Raw genomic sequence first — 12,817 nt, 5'->3', positions numbered from 1 at the left:
GCCACTGCATTCCAGCCTGGGCAACAGAGCAAGACCCTGTCTCAAAAAAAAAAAGAAAAAGAAATTTATGGTTTAGGAGACATGTAGCCAGAGGCTACAAGATTCTACACCTCCCCAGTTACTCCTAGGGATAACATCACTATTGTAAAACCTAAGACTGGTGCTGAAAATATTTTTCAGCCCCTGCACTCGATGGATCAGGCATCACCCAAATGGATAAACTGGCTCATCATGTCTTGTGGCCCCCACCCAGAGACTGACTCAGTGCTAAAGGATGGCTTTGACTCACTGTGATTTCATCTCTAACCCAATCAATAATCACTCCCTACTCTCTTGCCCCCTACCCACCAAATTATTCTTAAAAAACCCCATTCTCCAAGTTTTCAGAGAGACTGACTTGAGTAATAATAAGACACCGGTCTTCTGTTCAGCTGGCTCTGTGTGAATTAACCTCTTTCTCTATTGCAATGCCCTTGTCTTGATAAATTGGCTCTATCTGGGCAGTGGGCAAAATGATCTTGTTGGGAGGTTACAAATTAGCACCGAGGAGGCAGGGTGGGGGTGGGGGGCATATGGCTGAATTGGGTGTGCAAGGGGTCCTGGCTGAGCCTTAAGATATTTAGGCCCAGAAGAGGGGTAGATCTGGTGTCCCCTTGGATGTGGGGACAGGAACCCATTTGCTAGGAAGCTTTGGTTTCACCTGAAGGTTTCAAGTACTCTGGCACCTAGAGGGGCCCCAAAGTGTGGGAAGGAGCCCCTGCCCCACCACATCTGGCCCTTGGGCTCCCATTTGAACAGGGATTGGGTGGGGGCTGCTAGCAGGAGTCTCAGGCCACCCAGACAGCTGTGCCCCAACCCCAAGAGTTTAGGGGCAGGAGGCTCCCTTTTCCCCACTTCTGTGTAGAGCCCAGTATTGCTCAGCAGGGGCAGGGCAGTGCTTCAGAACACTTCAGCCTGGACCCAGCAGTGAGGACGGAGGGGATAAAGGAAGGGGACATAGGAAGGGGCCTGGCTGACACCTGGCGCAGAGCATTCAGACAACACTCAGAGCCCTCACCTCACCTGCATGCTGGGAAGCTATGGGAGAGATGGGGTAGGGTCAGAGGCAGTTGGGGCGTGGAGAACTCTCCATGCCCCTAGGTGCTTCCACAGGGTCCTAGGACCACTCACTCTCCAGGCACAGGTGCTCAGATCTTCTCCAAGCTCCAGGCCCAGGGGCCTCAGTCTACTGAATCCTCCTACCCCAGTCACTCCACTCCAAGGGCCAGAGCCGAACCAGTCTTCCTCTGGGCCCTGACAAGCACACCCCATCCCCACCCCCTACTTTCCAGGAACCAGCCCTGCAGGTCCAAGATCACTTCCTTCTCTCCTCTTCTCCCCTTTCCCGCCCTTCAACACACCAAGGCACCATGCCCTGCCAGGTCCTGCTCCTGTTACCCCGGACCCCTCCACTCCTTTCTTCCCACAAGAACAGGTGCACTACTGCGCACCACCTCCCCACCATCCCCAGGGCTCCCTGCCCCAGATCCCGCTACCCCAGCAGTGCATGAACTTGCTCAAATCCAAATCCAATCCTTTACTCTATTGCTTAAAACTCTTGGCGGGGCACCGTGTCTCACGCCTGTAGTCCTAGCACTTTGGGAGGCCAAGGCAGGTGGATCACTTGAGGTCAGGAGTTTGAGACCAGCCTGGCCAAAATGGTGAGACCCCATCGCTACTAAAAATACAAAAATTAGCCAACCATGGTGGCAGGCACCTGTAATCCCAGCTACTCGGGAGGCTGAGGCTGGAGAATCACTTGAACCCGGGAGACAGAGGTTGCAGTAAGCCGAGATTGTGTCATTGCACTCCAGCCTGGGTGAGAAGCACAAGACTCTGTCTCAAAAAACAAAAACAAAACAAAACAAAAAAAGAAAAAAAACAACCTCTTGAAAGCAGGAGTCAATAATCAAGGATGACATTTTAAAAACTGACGTCATCCCTGTGTTCTTGGGAGAATCAGAATTAATCTTCTGGAAAGACTGCTCTTCTGCTGGGAAAATAGGTTAATGGAGCTGTTTGTTATTCACAGACTAGGCTGAGTCTGGGCTGCTGGGAGGAGGGGGCCTGCATCACAACAGAATTATTCCATAAATGACTGTCCCAGGGTGCAGAGGGGCATCTCTAAAGAAACCGTTCTAATATTGATTTAATGCTAAGAGCCTGGCAGTTTTCCCTGCAGCCCTGGGGCAAAGAGAGGGTTGACCCTTCAAAGCAAGTGCTGTTTCCTGATCTTCTGGCTTCCTGGGCACACAGCCTAGCTTTGGGCAAGGGGAGGTGTCTATAGGGACCAAGGGGGCTATATCCTCACTTTGAGGAATGGGGTCTGTGGGGTAGCCTCCGCCTCCAGGTTGAAAGGCAGCTATGGGATCAGTGTGACCCACTTCCCCGATATAATCAATAGAATAGGCATGGCCTGCTTTCCCAGGCCTGGAACAAACAAGGGCCCCGACCCCTAGATTAGCAGAGCATCCAATTTCTCTGTATTAGAGCCCTCCATCCAATTATAAAGAAGAATCCAATGGGGAGCGTGCTTCCTCTATCCAAGGGACCAGTAGTGCTTCCAAATCTCCACAAGTAGTGCCTTGTGGAGATGTTACTGCAAAGGACTCCCAATCCAGACCCCAAAAGAGAGCTATTAGATCTCAAGCAAGAAAGAATTCACTGTGAGTCCACACAGTGAAGTGAAAGCCAGTTTATTAGAAAAGTAAAGAAACAAAAGAATGGCTACTCCACAGGCGGAAGAGCAGCTCCAAGGTTGGCTATTTTTTTTTTTTTTTTTCTGAGACTAAGTCTCACTCTTGTCCGCCAGGCTAGAGTGCGATGGTGTGATCTCGGTTCACTGCAACCTTCACCTCCAGGGTTCAAGCAATTCTTCTGCCTCAGCCTCTCGCGTAGCTGGGATTACAGGTGCCTGCCACCACACCTGGCTAATTTTTGTATTTTTAGTAGAGATGGGGTTTCACCATGTTGGCCAGGCTGGTCTCAAACTCCTGAACTCAGGTGATCTGCCCTCCTAGGCCTCCCAAAGTGCTGGGATGGGATTACAGGCATGAGCCACCATGCCCCTGCCTAGGGTTGGCTATTTTTATGGTTATTTCTTGATTATATGCCAAACAAGGGATGAATTATTCATGAGTTTTCCAGGAAAGGGGTCAGGGTTTCCCAGAACTGAGGGCTCCTCTTTCTTTTAGACCATATAGGGTAACTTCCTGACCTTGCCATGGCATCTGTAAACTGTCATGGCGCTGGTGGGAGTGTCTTTTAGGATGCTAATGTTTATAATTAGTGTATAATGAGCAGTGAGGGTGATCAGAGGTCCTTTTCATTGCCATCTTGGCTTTGGCAGGTTTTGGCTAGCTTCTTTACTGCATCCTGTTTTATCAGAGGGGTCTTTATGACCTGTATCTTGTACTGACTGTGAAATCCTAATTAGGGAGGGGGAGTCAGGCTGGAGGGACCAAGGGAAAGCAAAAAGAGAAAGCAGATAAGCTATAAATCCGCCTTTCCTCATGGTCCAGGACACGTAGCCCTCCTTCACAAATAACTCACAATCTTCCTGTGCCCAGCTATCACCAGACCCTGATAGAAAATACAAGTTATCTCACTGCAACCCTGCCATTATCAGTACTGCACAAAGACCTCTCCAGCAGACAGCACAAGCATCATGCAATAAAATCCCAAGCAAGCCTTTGTCTCCTTACAGTCAGCTCCGCTCTTGCCTGCCTGCCCATTGCTTTTTTGTAATGTATTTTCCTACTTTCTCAAATAAATCTGCCTTTCTTTATCTACAATTGTCTTGGTAAATTCTTTTTACTGCCCACTCGACACCGGCCCCAGATAATCACTACCCAAGACACTGATCTCCTATCTCATCCTGTGACTGAGAATGCCTAAGCTCCTGTGGATGCAGCCCAGCAGGTCTCAGCCTCGTTTTACCCAGCCCGTGTTCAAAATGGAGTTGCTCTGGTTCTAACGCCTCTGACAGAGAGACCTGGAGAATGGGCTTCTGCGCCCCACCTGGGGGATGTGGCTGCTAAGTGTGGTGGGGAGGTGATCCGAGTGCCCTTGGGTGTCTCAGCTCTGGGTCGAGCTCTGTGGGCCTGCAGCAGGCTGGCCGGCTAGGGCCTCCCAGTGCCTTCGCTTCCTGGGCCCTGTTTGTCCAGCAATGCTGTGGGAGCCCGTCTTTCTCTCCCTTCCCCATGCACTCTCTTTTGGGAACCTTTGAACATGTCCCTGCTCCGTCCCCTCTCCCCCAGCTTACTCATCTAGTCTAGGCTTAGAGAAAGAGTCTCCTGCTGGCCTTCTCCACATGGAGCTTCCCAGGCTTGTTTGGCCCCGGTACAGAGGCTGACGTGCCCACTCCTTGGTCCTTGGCATAACATCACCATCATGGTTTGATCACTTTATTCCCTCTATCCCCATTCCCATTCCACCCCTGCCAGAGCCAACTGATCTAAGGTGGTTAATGTGTATCTTTTTGCAGGTGTGCTTGGGTAATGTGTCTTGTTTATTTACAAAAATATAATTTTATCTCCTTCTGTTTCTTACTTTTTGCACTGAGCACTGTTTTTAAGATCCCTCCTTGCTGCTATGCATAATGTATTGTTGGCTCTAATGACAGTGCAGTATTTTGCCATGGCGTCTCCCCCACAGCTTACTGCCTACTCCTCGGGGGGTGGACACCCAGGTGGCCACCAGCTCCCTGCCACCTGGAATCACTCTGCAATGAACGTCCTCCCACATGCGGCTTATGAGCTCTTCTTTGGAATGCCTACCTCAGAGTCCTGCTGTTGGGTGGCATGAGACACATGGGCCACCTAATTTAACAACAAAGACAAGATATTATTCAGAACGCCACCCCCACCCCGCCCCCCCATTCCTCACTGACCCATATCCGCACATCCTTGCCAACACTTGGCATTTTTAGGTCTTTCTAATTTTTGCTCATCCATAAGTGCAGACATCTCATTGTTTTAATTTGCCGTTTATTCCAGTCATTCACAATTTTGAGGATCTTCTCACGTGCTGTGAAAGTGGGGCATTTCCTCTTCTGTAAATAAATATAGTGTGATGTTGGCCTCTTTTGCCCACACTTCTGTTGGGGTTTTGGTTTGTATATTCTAGATATTGATGCCTTGTGGAGTTTAGACAGTGTACGTGTCTCTCCCACTGTCAGCCTCTATTATCTTTGTCCTTGTGTGTCATTGAACAGAAATCTTTAATCTTGATATATTCACATTCAAACTTCAGGCCAGGAGTGATGGCTGAAGCCTGCAATCCCAGCACTTTGGGAAGCCAAGGTGGGAGGATCACTTGAGCTCAGGAGTTCAAAACCAGCCTGGGCAATATGGTGAGACCTCGTCTCTACTAAAAATACAAAAATTAGCCAGGCATGGTGGTGCATGTCTGGAGCCTCAGCTGCTTGAGAGGCTGAGGCAGTACGATCCTTTGAGCCCAAGAGATGGAGGCTACAGGGAGCTGTGATCATGCCACTGCACTCTAGCCTGGGTTACAGAGCAAGACCGTCTCAAAAACAAATCTTATGGTTTACGGCTTTGAAATTTTGTTTGAAAAGCCCTTTCCCACACCTAGGCCACAAGATAGTCTCTGATAGTTTCTTCCACTATCCCTAGAGTTTCACATATCAAATTTAGGTCTTTAACTCAGCTAGAGTTCATCCTTGAATGAAGCATTGGGCAATAATCCTGATTCATATTTTCTGTAGAGTGAGCCAGTTTTCCTCACAGCATCTACTACAGAGATGTCTCCCTGCATGCTCCATTCCCACAGAGGCAGCATCTACCTCCGAGTTCACTCCTTTGTTCATTGGGCTGTTCTTTTATCTGTACCATGCTGTTTGTATCACCACAGCTTTGTGGTGCTATTTGTGATATCTAGTAAGGCAAATTTAACTCCTATATTTTAAGATTAATTTTGCTATTTATTTACATTTTAGAGTAAGTTTATCGAGTTCCTAAAAAAAATCCAAATGGATTTTTTTATTAGGGTTGCTTTGAATTTAAAGATAAATTTGGGAAAAATTGATCTCTTTATAATATTACATAGTTTATTTTTACATTTTTATTTATGGATTTAAAGTGACAAATAAAACTGTACATATTTACCATGTGTAACATGACGTTTTGAAATATGTATACATTATGGAATGGCTCATTGGAGCTAATTAACTTTTATTTTTTTGAGACGGAGTTTCGCTCTTATTGCCCAGGCTGGAGTACGATGGTGCAATCTTGGCTCACTGCAACCTACACCTCCTGGGTTCAAGCGATTCTCCTGCCTCAGCCTACCAAGTAGCTGGTATTACAGGCATCAGCCAGGCGTGGTGGCGCACGCCTGCAGTCCCAGCCACTCAGGAGGCCGAAGCAGAAGAATCGCTTGAACCCAGGAGGCGGAGGTTGCAGTGAGCTGAGATCGTGCCACTGCACTCCAGCCTGGGCAACAGAGCAAGACTCCATCTCAGAAAAAAAAAAAGGCCAGGCGCAGTGGCTCACACCTGTAAGGACTTATACAGTCACTTAATTCCTAGATGCTTTCTAATTTTTGTTGTTATTGTGGTTGGTATTTTCTCCCAACTTTTTATTTACTCTTTACAATGTCAATCTAGGCCGGGGACAGTGGTTCACGCCTGTAATCCCAGCACTTTGGGATGCGGAGGTGGGAGGATGGCTTGAGCCCAGGAGGTCAAGACCAGCCCTGGTAACATAGGGAGACCCTATCTCTGCAAAAAACTGAAAATTAAAAAATTATCTGGGCCTAGTGGTGCACACCTGTAGTTCCAGCTACTCAGGAGGCTGAGGTGGGAGGATCTGCTTGAGCTCAGGAGGTCGAGCTTGCAGTGAGCCGTGATTGCACCATTGCACTCCAGCCTGGGTGACACAGTGAGACCCTGTCTCAAAAAAAAAAAAAAAAAAAAAGAAAGAAAGAAAGAAAGAAAAATCAACCTATAGAAAAGTTGAAAGACTAGAACAATGACCATTCTTATGTCCTTCACTTGGACTCATGAATTGCTAATGTTTTGCTGTATTTACTTTATGCTTTATGCTCGCTTACAAACATTCATTCTTTTTTTCTGAACCATGGGAAAGTTCCAGACATCATGAATGGTATACATATTTTTTAAATTTTTCTAGTTGATTATGCCTGGTATAGAGAAATGCTGTTGGTGTTTTATGTTGACCTTGAATCTGGCAATTTTGTTGTTACAAGGCAAAACATTTTTTTTTCCTTTATTTATTTATTTTTTTGAGACAGAGTTTTGCTCTTGTTGCCCAGGCTGGAGTACAGTGGCGTGACCTTGGCTCAATACAACCTCCGCCTTCAGGGTTCAAGCAATTCTCCTGCCTCAGCCTCTTGAGTAGCTGGGATTACAGGCGCCCACCGCCACGCCCGGCTATTTTTTAAAAAATGTTTAGTAGAGATGGAGTTTCAACGTGTTGGTCACGCTGGTCTCGAACTCCTGACCTCAGGTGATCCTCCTGCCATGGCCTCCCAAAGTGTTGGGATTACAGGTGTGAGCCACCGCACCCGGCCAAAACATTTTTTTGTTTGTTTTTAAACTACAACCACAATTAGAATTACATTTTATATCATGATCCTGTATCTTTAGTCTCTGTAATTCACTTCATATTTCTATTTTATTCTTTTTAATTTTTTTATATGTGGGTTTCAGACGCTGAATTGATTTCAGGACCCACATATGGGCCTCAGTTCATGGTTTGAAAACTACTGCTGAAGACTGGGGACCTGTGGTCTGGGCTCCCGCAGGCAGTACACCCAGTTATAGGCCCTGGCTGTGCTCCATGCCTTCCTCCGGCAGGCTGCTGTAGCCCTGGCTGACTGAATGCAGAGGTCCAGGGGCCAGCAAACATTCATAGTATTTGTGTCATTCAAGCCCCTCACAGATCGCCCTCCCCAGGGCTGGATTCTGAGCGAGGGTCACACCTGGGCTCCCTGCCCTGCCGCAGATCGGCTGTGGGACGCTAGGCTGGCCACCACTTCTCTCAGGGCCCTCTTTCCCATGCACAGGAGCTGGTCAGGGAAGGCATTTCTCAAAACCTTTCAGGCTTGGACTTCCTGTCTCTCTATCATTTTTATTTGCTCTTTCTTCAGGGTTTAGGGGAGTGAGTAGGTGTGGCATTGGGGTGGAGGAACCGAGGTGGGGCCTTGCCTTTGAGCTCTGCCCTCCACCCTGCCCAGCTCTGCATGCGTCTGAGGTGGCAGGGGCTGGGACGTTTTCCTGCCACTGAAAGTGTGAACAATGCTATGGCTGGTTTATTTTTTCCTCGCTGGTGTGTGTTCTATTTTCAGTAAGTTTTAATTGAAATGTAGATTCGGGTATATTGTGTGAGATAGAACACTCCCAGGTGCCCCAGTGACTAGACGGCCAGATTACTGTCTGCCTCCTTTCTCTGAAGCTTGGAGACCCGGCCTCTGGCCTTGTGCAGCTCTAGCCTGTGGACTCTGGGAGTAGTGGGCCCAAGGCATGGTGGCTGGGGTGGTGATTAGGGCCCAGGAACAGCAGGCAGGAGGCCCAGGCCCTTAGTCCTCGATGCCCAGCAGGCTCCATTGATCTTGGGCAGGTCTCTTCTCTACCCAGGCCTCAGCCTCCACATCTTTCAAGTAGGGATGATAATCCTGTTTTCTGGTTGCGGTGAGGACACAAGGAAATCAGGGGCTTAGAGGTACTTTATAACATGATGTCTCTCTACATTACTTTGTGTATTTAAAAAAAAATCTTAATACAGCCAGGCGTGGTGGCTCATGCCTGTCATCCCAGGACGTTGGGAGGCTGAGGTAGGAGGATTGCTTGAGCCCAGGAGTTCGAAACCAGCTTGACCAATACACGGTTAGTGAGCCATTAGTGATCAGTGAGTTGTGATCTATCGCACCACTGCACTCCAGCACTCCGGCCTGGGAGACATAGCTATAAGACATAAAGATACATAATATTTATACATATAAGAAATGTAAGATACATATATCTTAACATAATTTTTAATTATTTTCTTGCATATCTTCTTTTAGATTTAGCCCTGAGTATAATTTTGTTTCTATTGACACTTTAAAAAATGACTTTTCCTGGCATATATGCACCATGGAATACTATGCAGCCATAAAAAAGGATGAGTTCATGTCCTTTGCAGGGACACGGATGAAGCTGGAAACCATCATTCTAAGCAAACTATCACAAGGACAGAAAACCAAACACCGCATGTTCTCACTCATAGGTGGGAGTTGAATAACGAGAACACATGGACACAGGGTGGGGAACATAACACACAGGGGCCTGTCGGAGGGTGGGGATTTTGGGGAGGGATAGCATTAGGAGAAATACCTAACGTAAATGACGAGTTGATGGGTGCAGCAAACCAACATGGCACATGTATACCTATGCAACAAACCTGCACGTTGTGCCCATGTATCCTAGAACTTAAAAGCATAATGAAAAAAAAAAAGCAAAAAAAAAAAAAAAAAAAAAAAAAAAGAAGCTAGCTGAAACCTACCAAAACCAAGATGGCAATGATAGTGACCTCTGGTGGTCCTCACTGCTCATTACATGCTAATTATAATGCATTAGCATGGTAAAAAATACTCTCACCAGCGCCATGACAGTTTACAAATGCCATGGCAACGACCGGAAGTTACCCTATATGGTTTTAAGAGGAGGGACCTTTATTTCCGGAAATTGTCCCCCCTTTACCGAAACCTCATGAATAATCCACCCCTTGTTTAGCATATAGGTATACTCAGTCAAGTAGCCTGCATTGCTGCCCTGCCTATGTAGTAGCCATTCTTTTGTTTATTTACTTCTCTAGTAAACTTGCTTTCACTCTAAAAAAAAAAAAAAAAAAAGACTTTTCCTCATAGCTTGTTGCTACTATATAGGAATTAAATAGATTCTTTTGGTCTTTTTCTTTTTGAGACAGGGTCACCAAGGCTGGAGTGCAGTGGCACGATCAGGGCTCACGGCAGCCTCGACCTCCCGGACTCAAGCGGTCCTCCCACCTCTGCCTCCCGAGTAGCTGGGATTACAGGTGACACCACCACTCCCTGCTAATCTTCGTATTCTTTGTAGGGATGGGGTTTCCCCATGTTGCCCAGGCTGGTTGCAAACTCCTGGGCTCAAGAGATCCACCCACCTCGGCCTAGATTTTTGTATATTGATTTTTTATCTGGAGAAGTTGCTACCTTTTCTTAGTAATCTAATGAAATATCTGGAGGGTTTGTGCGCGTGTGTGGTTTTTTTTGGTGGTTTTTCTATGTAGACTAATAGTTCTTGAAGAGGTGTACTGCCCTCTAGGGAGAGATTTGGAAATTTGCAGGGGAGTTTTATTTTTTGTTGTTGGGCCCAAGAATTCACACATCAAAATAACATTTTATTTTAAAGTATTTTTCTTTTATTTACCTCATATTTACATAATTTACAATAAAAGCATTGTATTGGCTTTTTGAAAATATGTGTGTGGAAGTGTTATATTATCTAAGTATTTCATTTCAGGATGGAGAGAGTGGCATTCATTTGTTACAGAAAGGGAAGTTGGATCTGATAGGGTTCTAAACTTCTGAGATTTTGAAAAAGTTCTTCCTCTAGTTCCAATTATTATATTTCTGTATCTTTTTTTGTCTTGGTGTTCTCTCAAGTTCTGGACAATTCTGAACAGAAGTAGTGATGATGGGTATATCTCATTTGCTCCTAACTTTAAGCAAAATGCTGTCAAATGCTTTCACCTCTTACTAAGATTTTCTTTAAAATCACTAATGGATGTTGAATTTTAATAAACGTCTTTCACATTGCCTCTGAAATGCTCATATTTCTCTTGATATAATGTACCTCATTGACGGATCTTCCTGTCTTATTTATGTAGTTTGGCTGTTTTTCTAATGCTAAGCCCCTCTGGAATTTCTAGTATAAACACACCTCCGTCCTGATAGATCTCCTTTTCACATGTCATCGCATTTCGCCTGCTAGCATTTTGTGTAAGATTTTTGTTTCCATCTAGGTTCCTGAGACAGGCGCATCATCTTCCCTGCTCATGGGATCCTTGAGGGGTTTGAGTGTCAAAGTCATGCTGGTCTCACAAGGGGCGTTGGGGGATCGCGCTCCGGGGTTGCTTCGCTGAGTGCGCGTGTGTGCGGGATGCGGGGTGCGGGGTGCGGGGCGTGCCCCCTGGCGGCCGCGGGCCGCATGAGCCGAACGAGCGGAGCGGGGAGCGCCGGGCCAGTGCCGTGGGGAGCGATGCGCCAGGTGGCGCCGGGTGACGCCAGGTGATGCCGGGGCTGCGCGGGTACTGCAGCCTTCCGTGGACCTGGACACGCGTGCAACCCAGCTTCAGAGACCGGGTGGCCAGGACCCAGAGTCACCCAGCCGACCCATAACGGCGGCTTCTTGAGTCTCGGGGCCGGCAAGGTCCTGAATCTTCATCTCTAGGAATAGAATGGGGATAATCCGCCTGTCTGTCAGGGAAATGGGAGGAGGCTGTAAAAGCATTTTTTGTGTGATTTTGTGTCAAAGCACAATTCGGACCTTCCAGAGGACCTGTCCGCATTCTGGCCTCAGCATTCTTGTTTTCCTGTTTCTTGCAAGCCCTTGACAAATGGCAGCTAGGGGCAGGGAATTCAGAATTAATGTCACTCAGTAGTCCAGAATGAGAGCTCGCATCATGGAGGTCTGTGTGGAAGAAGCACCCTTGTTTGATTCATTTTTGTGCATTATTTCATTACTGTTGATTTATTCCACAAATATTGACTGGGCACTGTGGTGGGCATAATAACGGCCGCCCAAAAAGTTGCCCATACCCTACTGAATACCTGGAACCTGTGACTGATGCATGTTACATAAGAATGTTACATGTGGCATGTCACCATGTTACATGGCAAAGAGAAGTAAGGTTGGAGGTAGAATGAAGGTTGCTCATCAGCTGACTTTAAGATAGGAAAAGAATCCCAGGTTATCTAGGTAGGCCCAGTGTAGTTACAGGGTCCTTGGAAGTGGAAGGAGAAGGCAGGAAAGTCAGAGAGTGATGTGGCTGTGGAAGCAACGCACCAAGAGCCGCCACATGGTCGGTTTTGGAGATGGAGGAAGGAGGTCTCTGCAAGCTGGAAAAGGCAAAGAAATGGATCCTTCCCTAGCACCTCCAGTAAGGAGTGCAGTTGGTGGGTAGAGCTGTAGGGTAACAGATGAGTGTGCTTTTAAGCCAAGCTTGTGGGAATTTGTTACAGCAGCAATAGGGAACTAGTACAGTATCCTAACACAGGGGTCCCCAATCCCTGGGCCAATGACCGGTATTGGTTGTGGCCTGTTAGGAACCGGGCTGCACAGCGGCAGGTGAGCAAAGCTTCATTTGTAATTTATAGTTGCTCCCTATCGCGTGCATTACCACCTCAGCTCCGCCTCCTGTCAGATCAACGACAGCATTAGATTCTCATAGTAGCATGAACCCTATTGTGAACTGCGCATGTGAGGGATCTAGGTCGCCTGCTCCTTATGAGAATCTACTGCCTGATAATCTATCACTGTCTCCTATCACCCCCGATGGGACTGTCTAGTTGCAGGAAAACAAGCTCAGGGTTTCCACTGATTTTACATTATGGTGAGTTGTATAATTATTTCATTATATATTACCATGTAATAATAATAGAAATAAAGTGCACAATAAATGTAATGCACTTGAATCTTCCCCAAACCATCCCCCACGTTGGTCTGTGGAAATATTGTCTTCCACAAAACCAGTCCTTGGTGCCAAAAAGGTTGGGG

The 12,817-nt window shown here is 46.9% G+C and overlaps 1 long non-coding RNA gene across 1 annotated transcript, besides 1 other annotated feature; it reads right to left on the bottom strand.

Annotated features, from left to right (window-relative positions):
* Positions 1-8,730: 8,730 nt before the first annotated feature.
* LOC105369399 (uncharacterized) lies at positions 8,731-9,605 on the bottom strand. Its single transcript, XR_950340.1, has 2 exons — positions 9,567-9,605; positions 8,731-8,986 (listed from the first exon to the last, which is right to left on the bottom strand). It is a non-coding gene; the product is annotated as an uncharacterized LOC105369399 (long non-coding RNA).
* Positions 11,138-11,317: a silencer, noted in NCBI's record as "silent region_3795". NCBI's record gives its function as "represses an Ori minimal core promoter by ATAC-STARR-seq in GM12878 lymphoblastoid cells {active_cell/tissue: GM12878}" and the evidence as "EXISTENCE:reporter gene assay evidence [ECO:0000049][PMID:35858748]".

The sequence above is a fragment of the Homo sapiens genome, chromosome 11 (genome assembly GCF_000001405.40).
Source record: "Homo sapiens chromosome 11, GRCh38.p14 Primary Assembly".
Taxonomy (NCBI): Eukaryota; Metazoa; Chordata; class Mammalia; order Primates; family Hominidae; genus Homo; species Homo sapiens.
The sequence above is the reverse complement of the archived record's forward strand: the minus strand, read 5'-3'. Positions and strand labels throughout refer to the sequence as shown.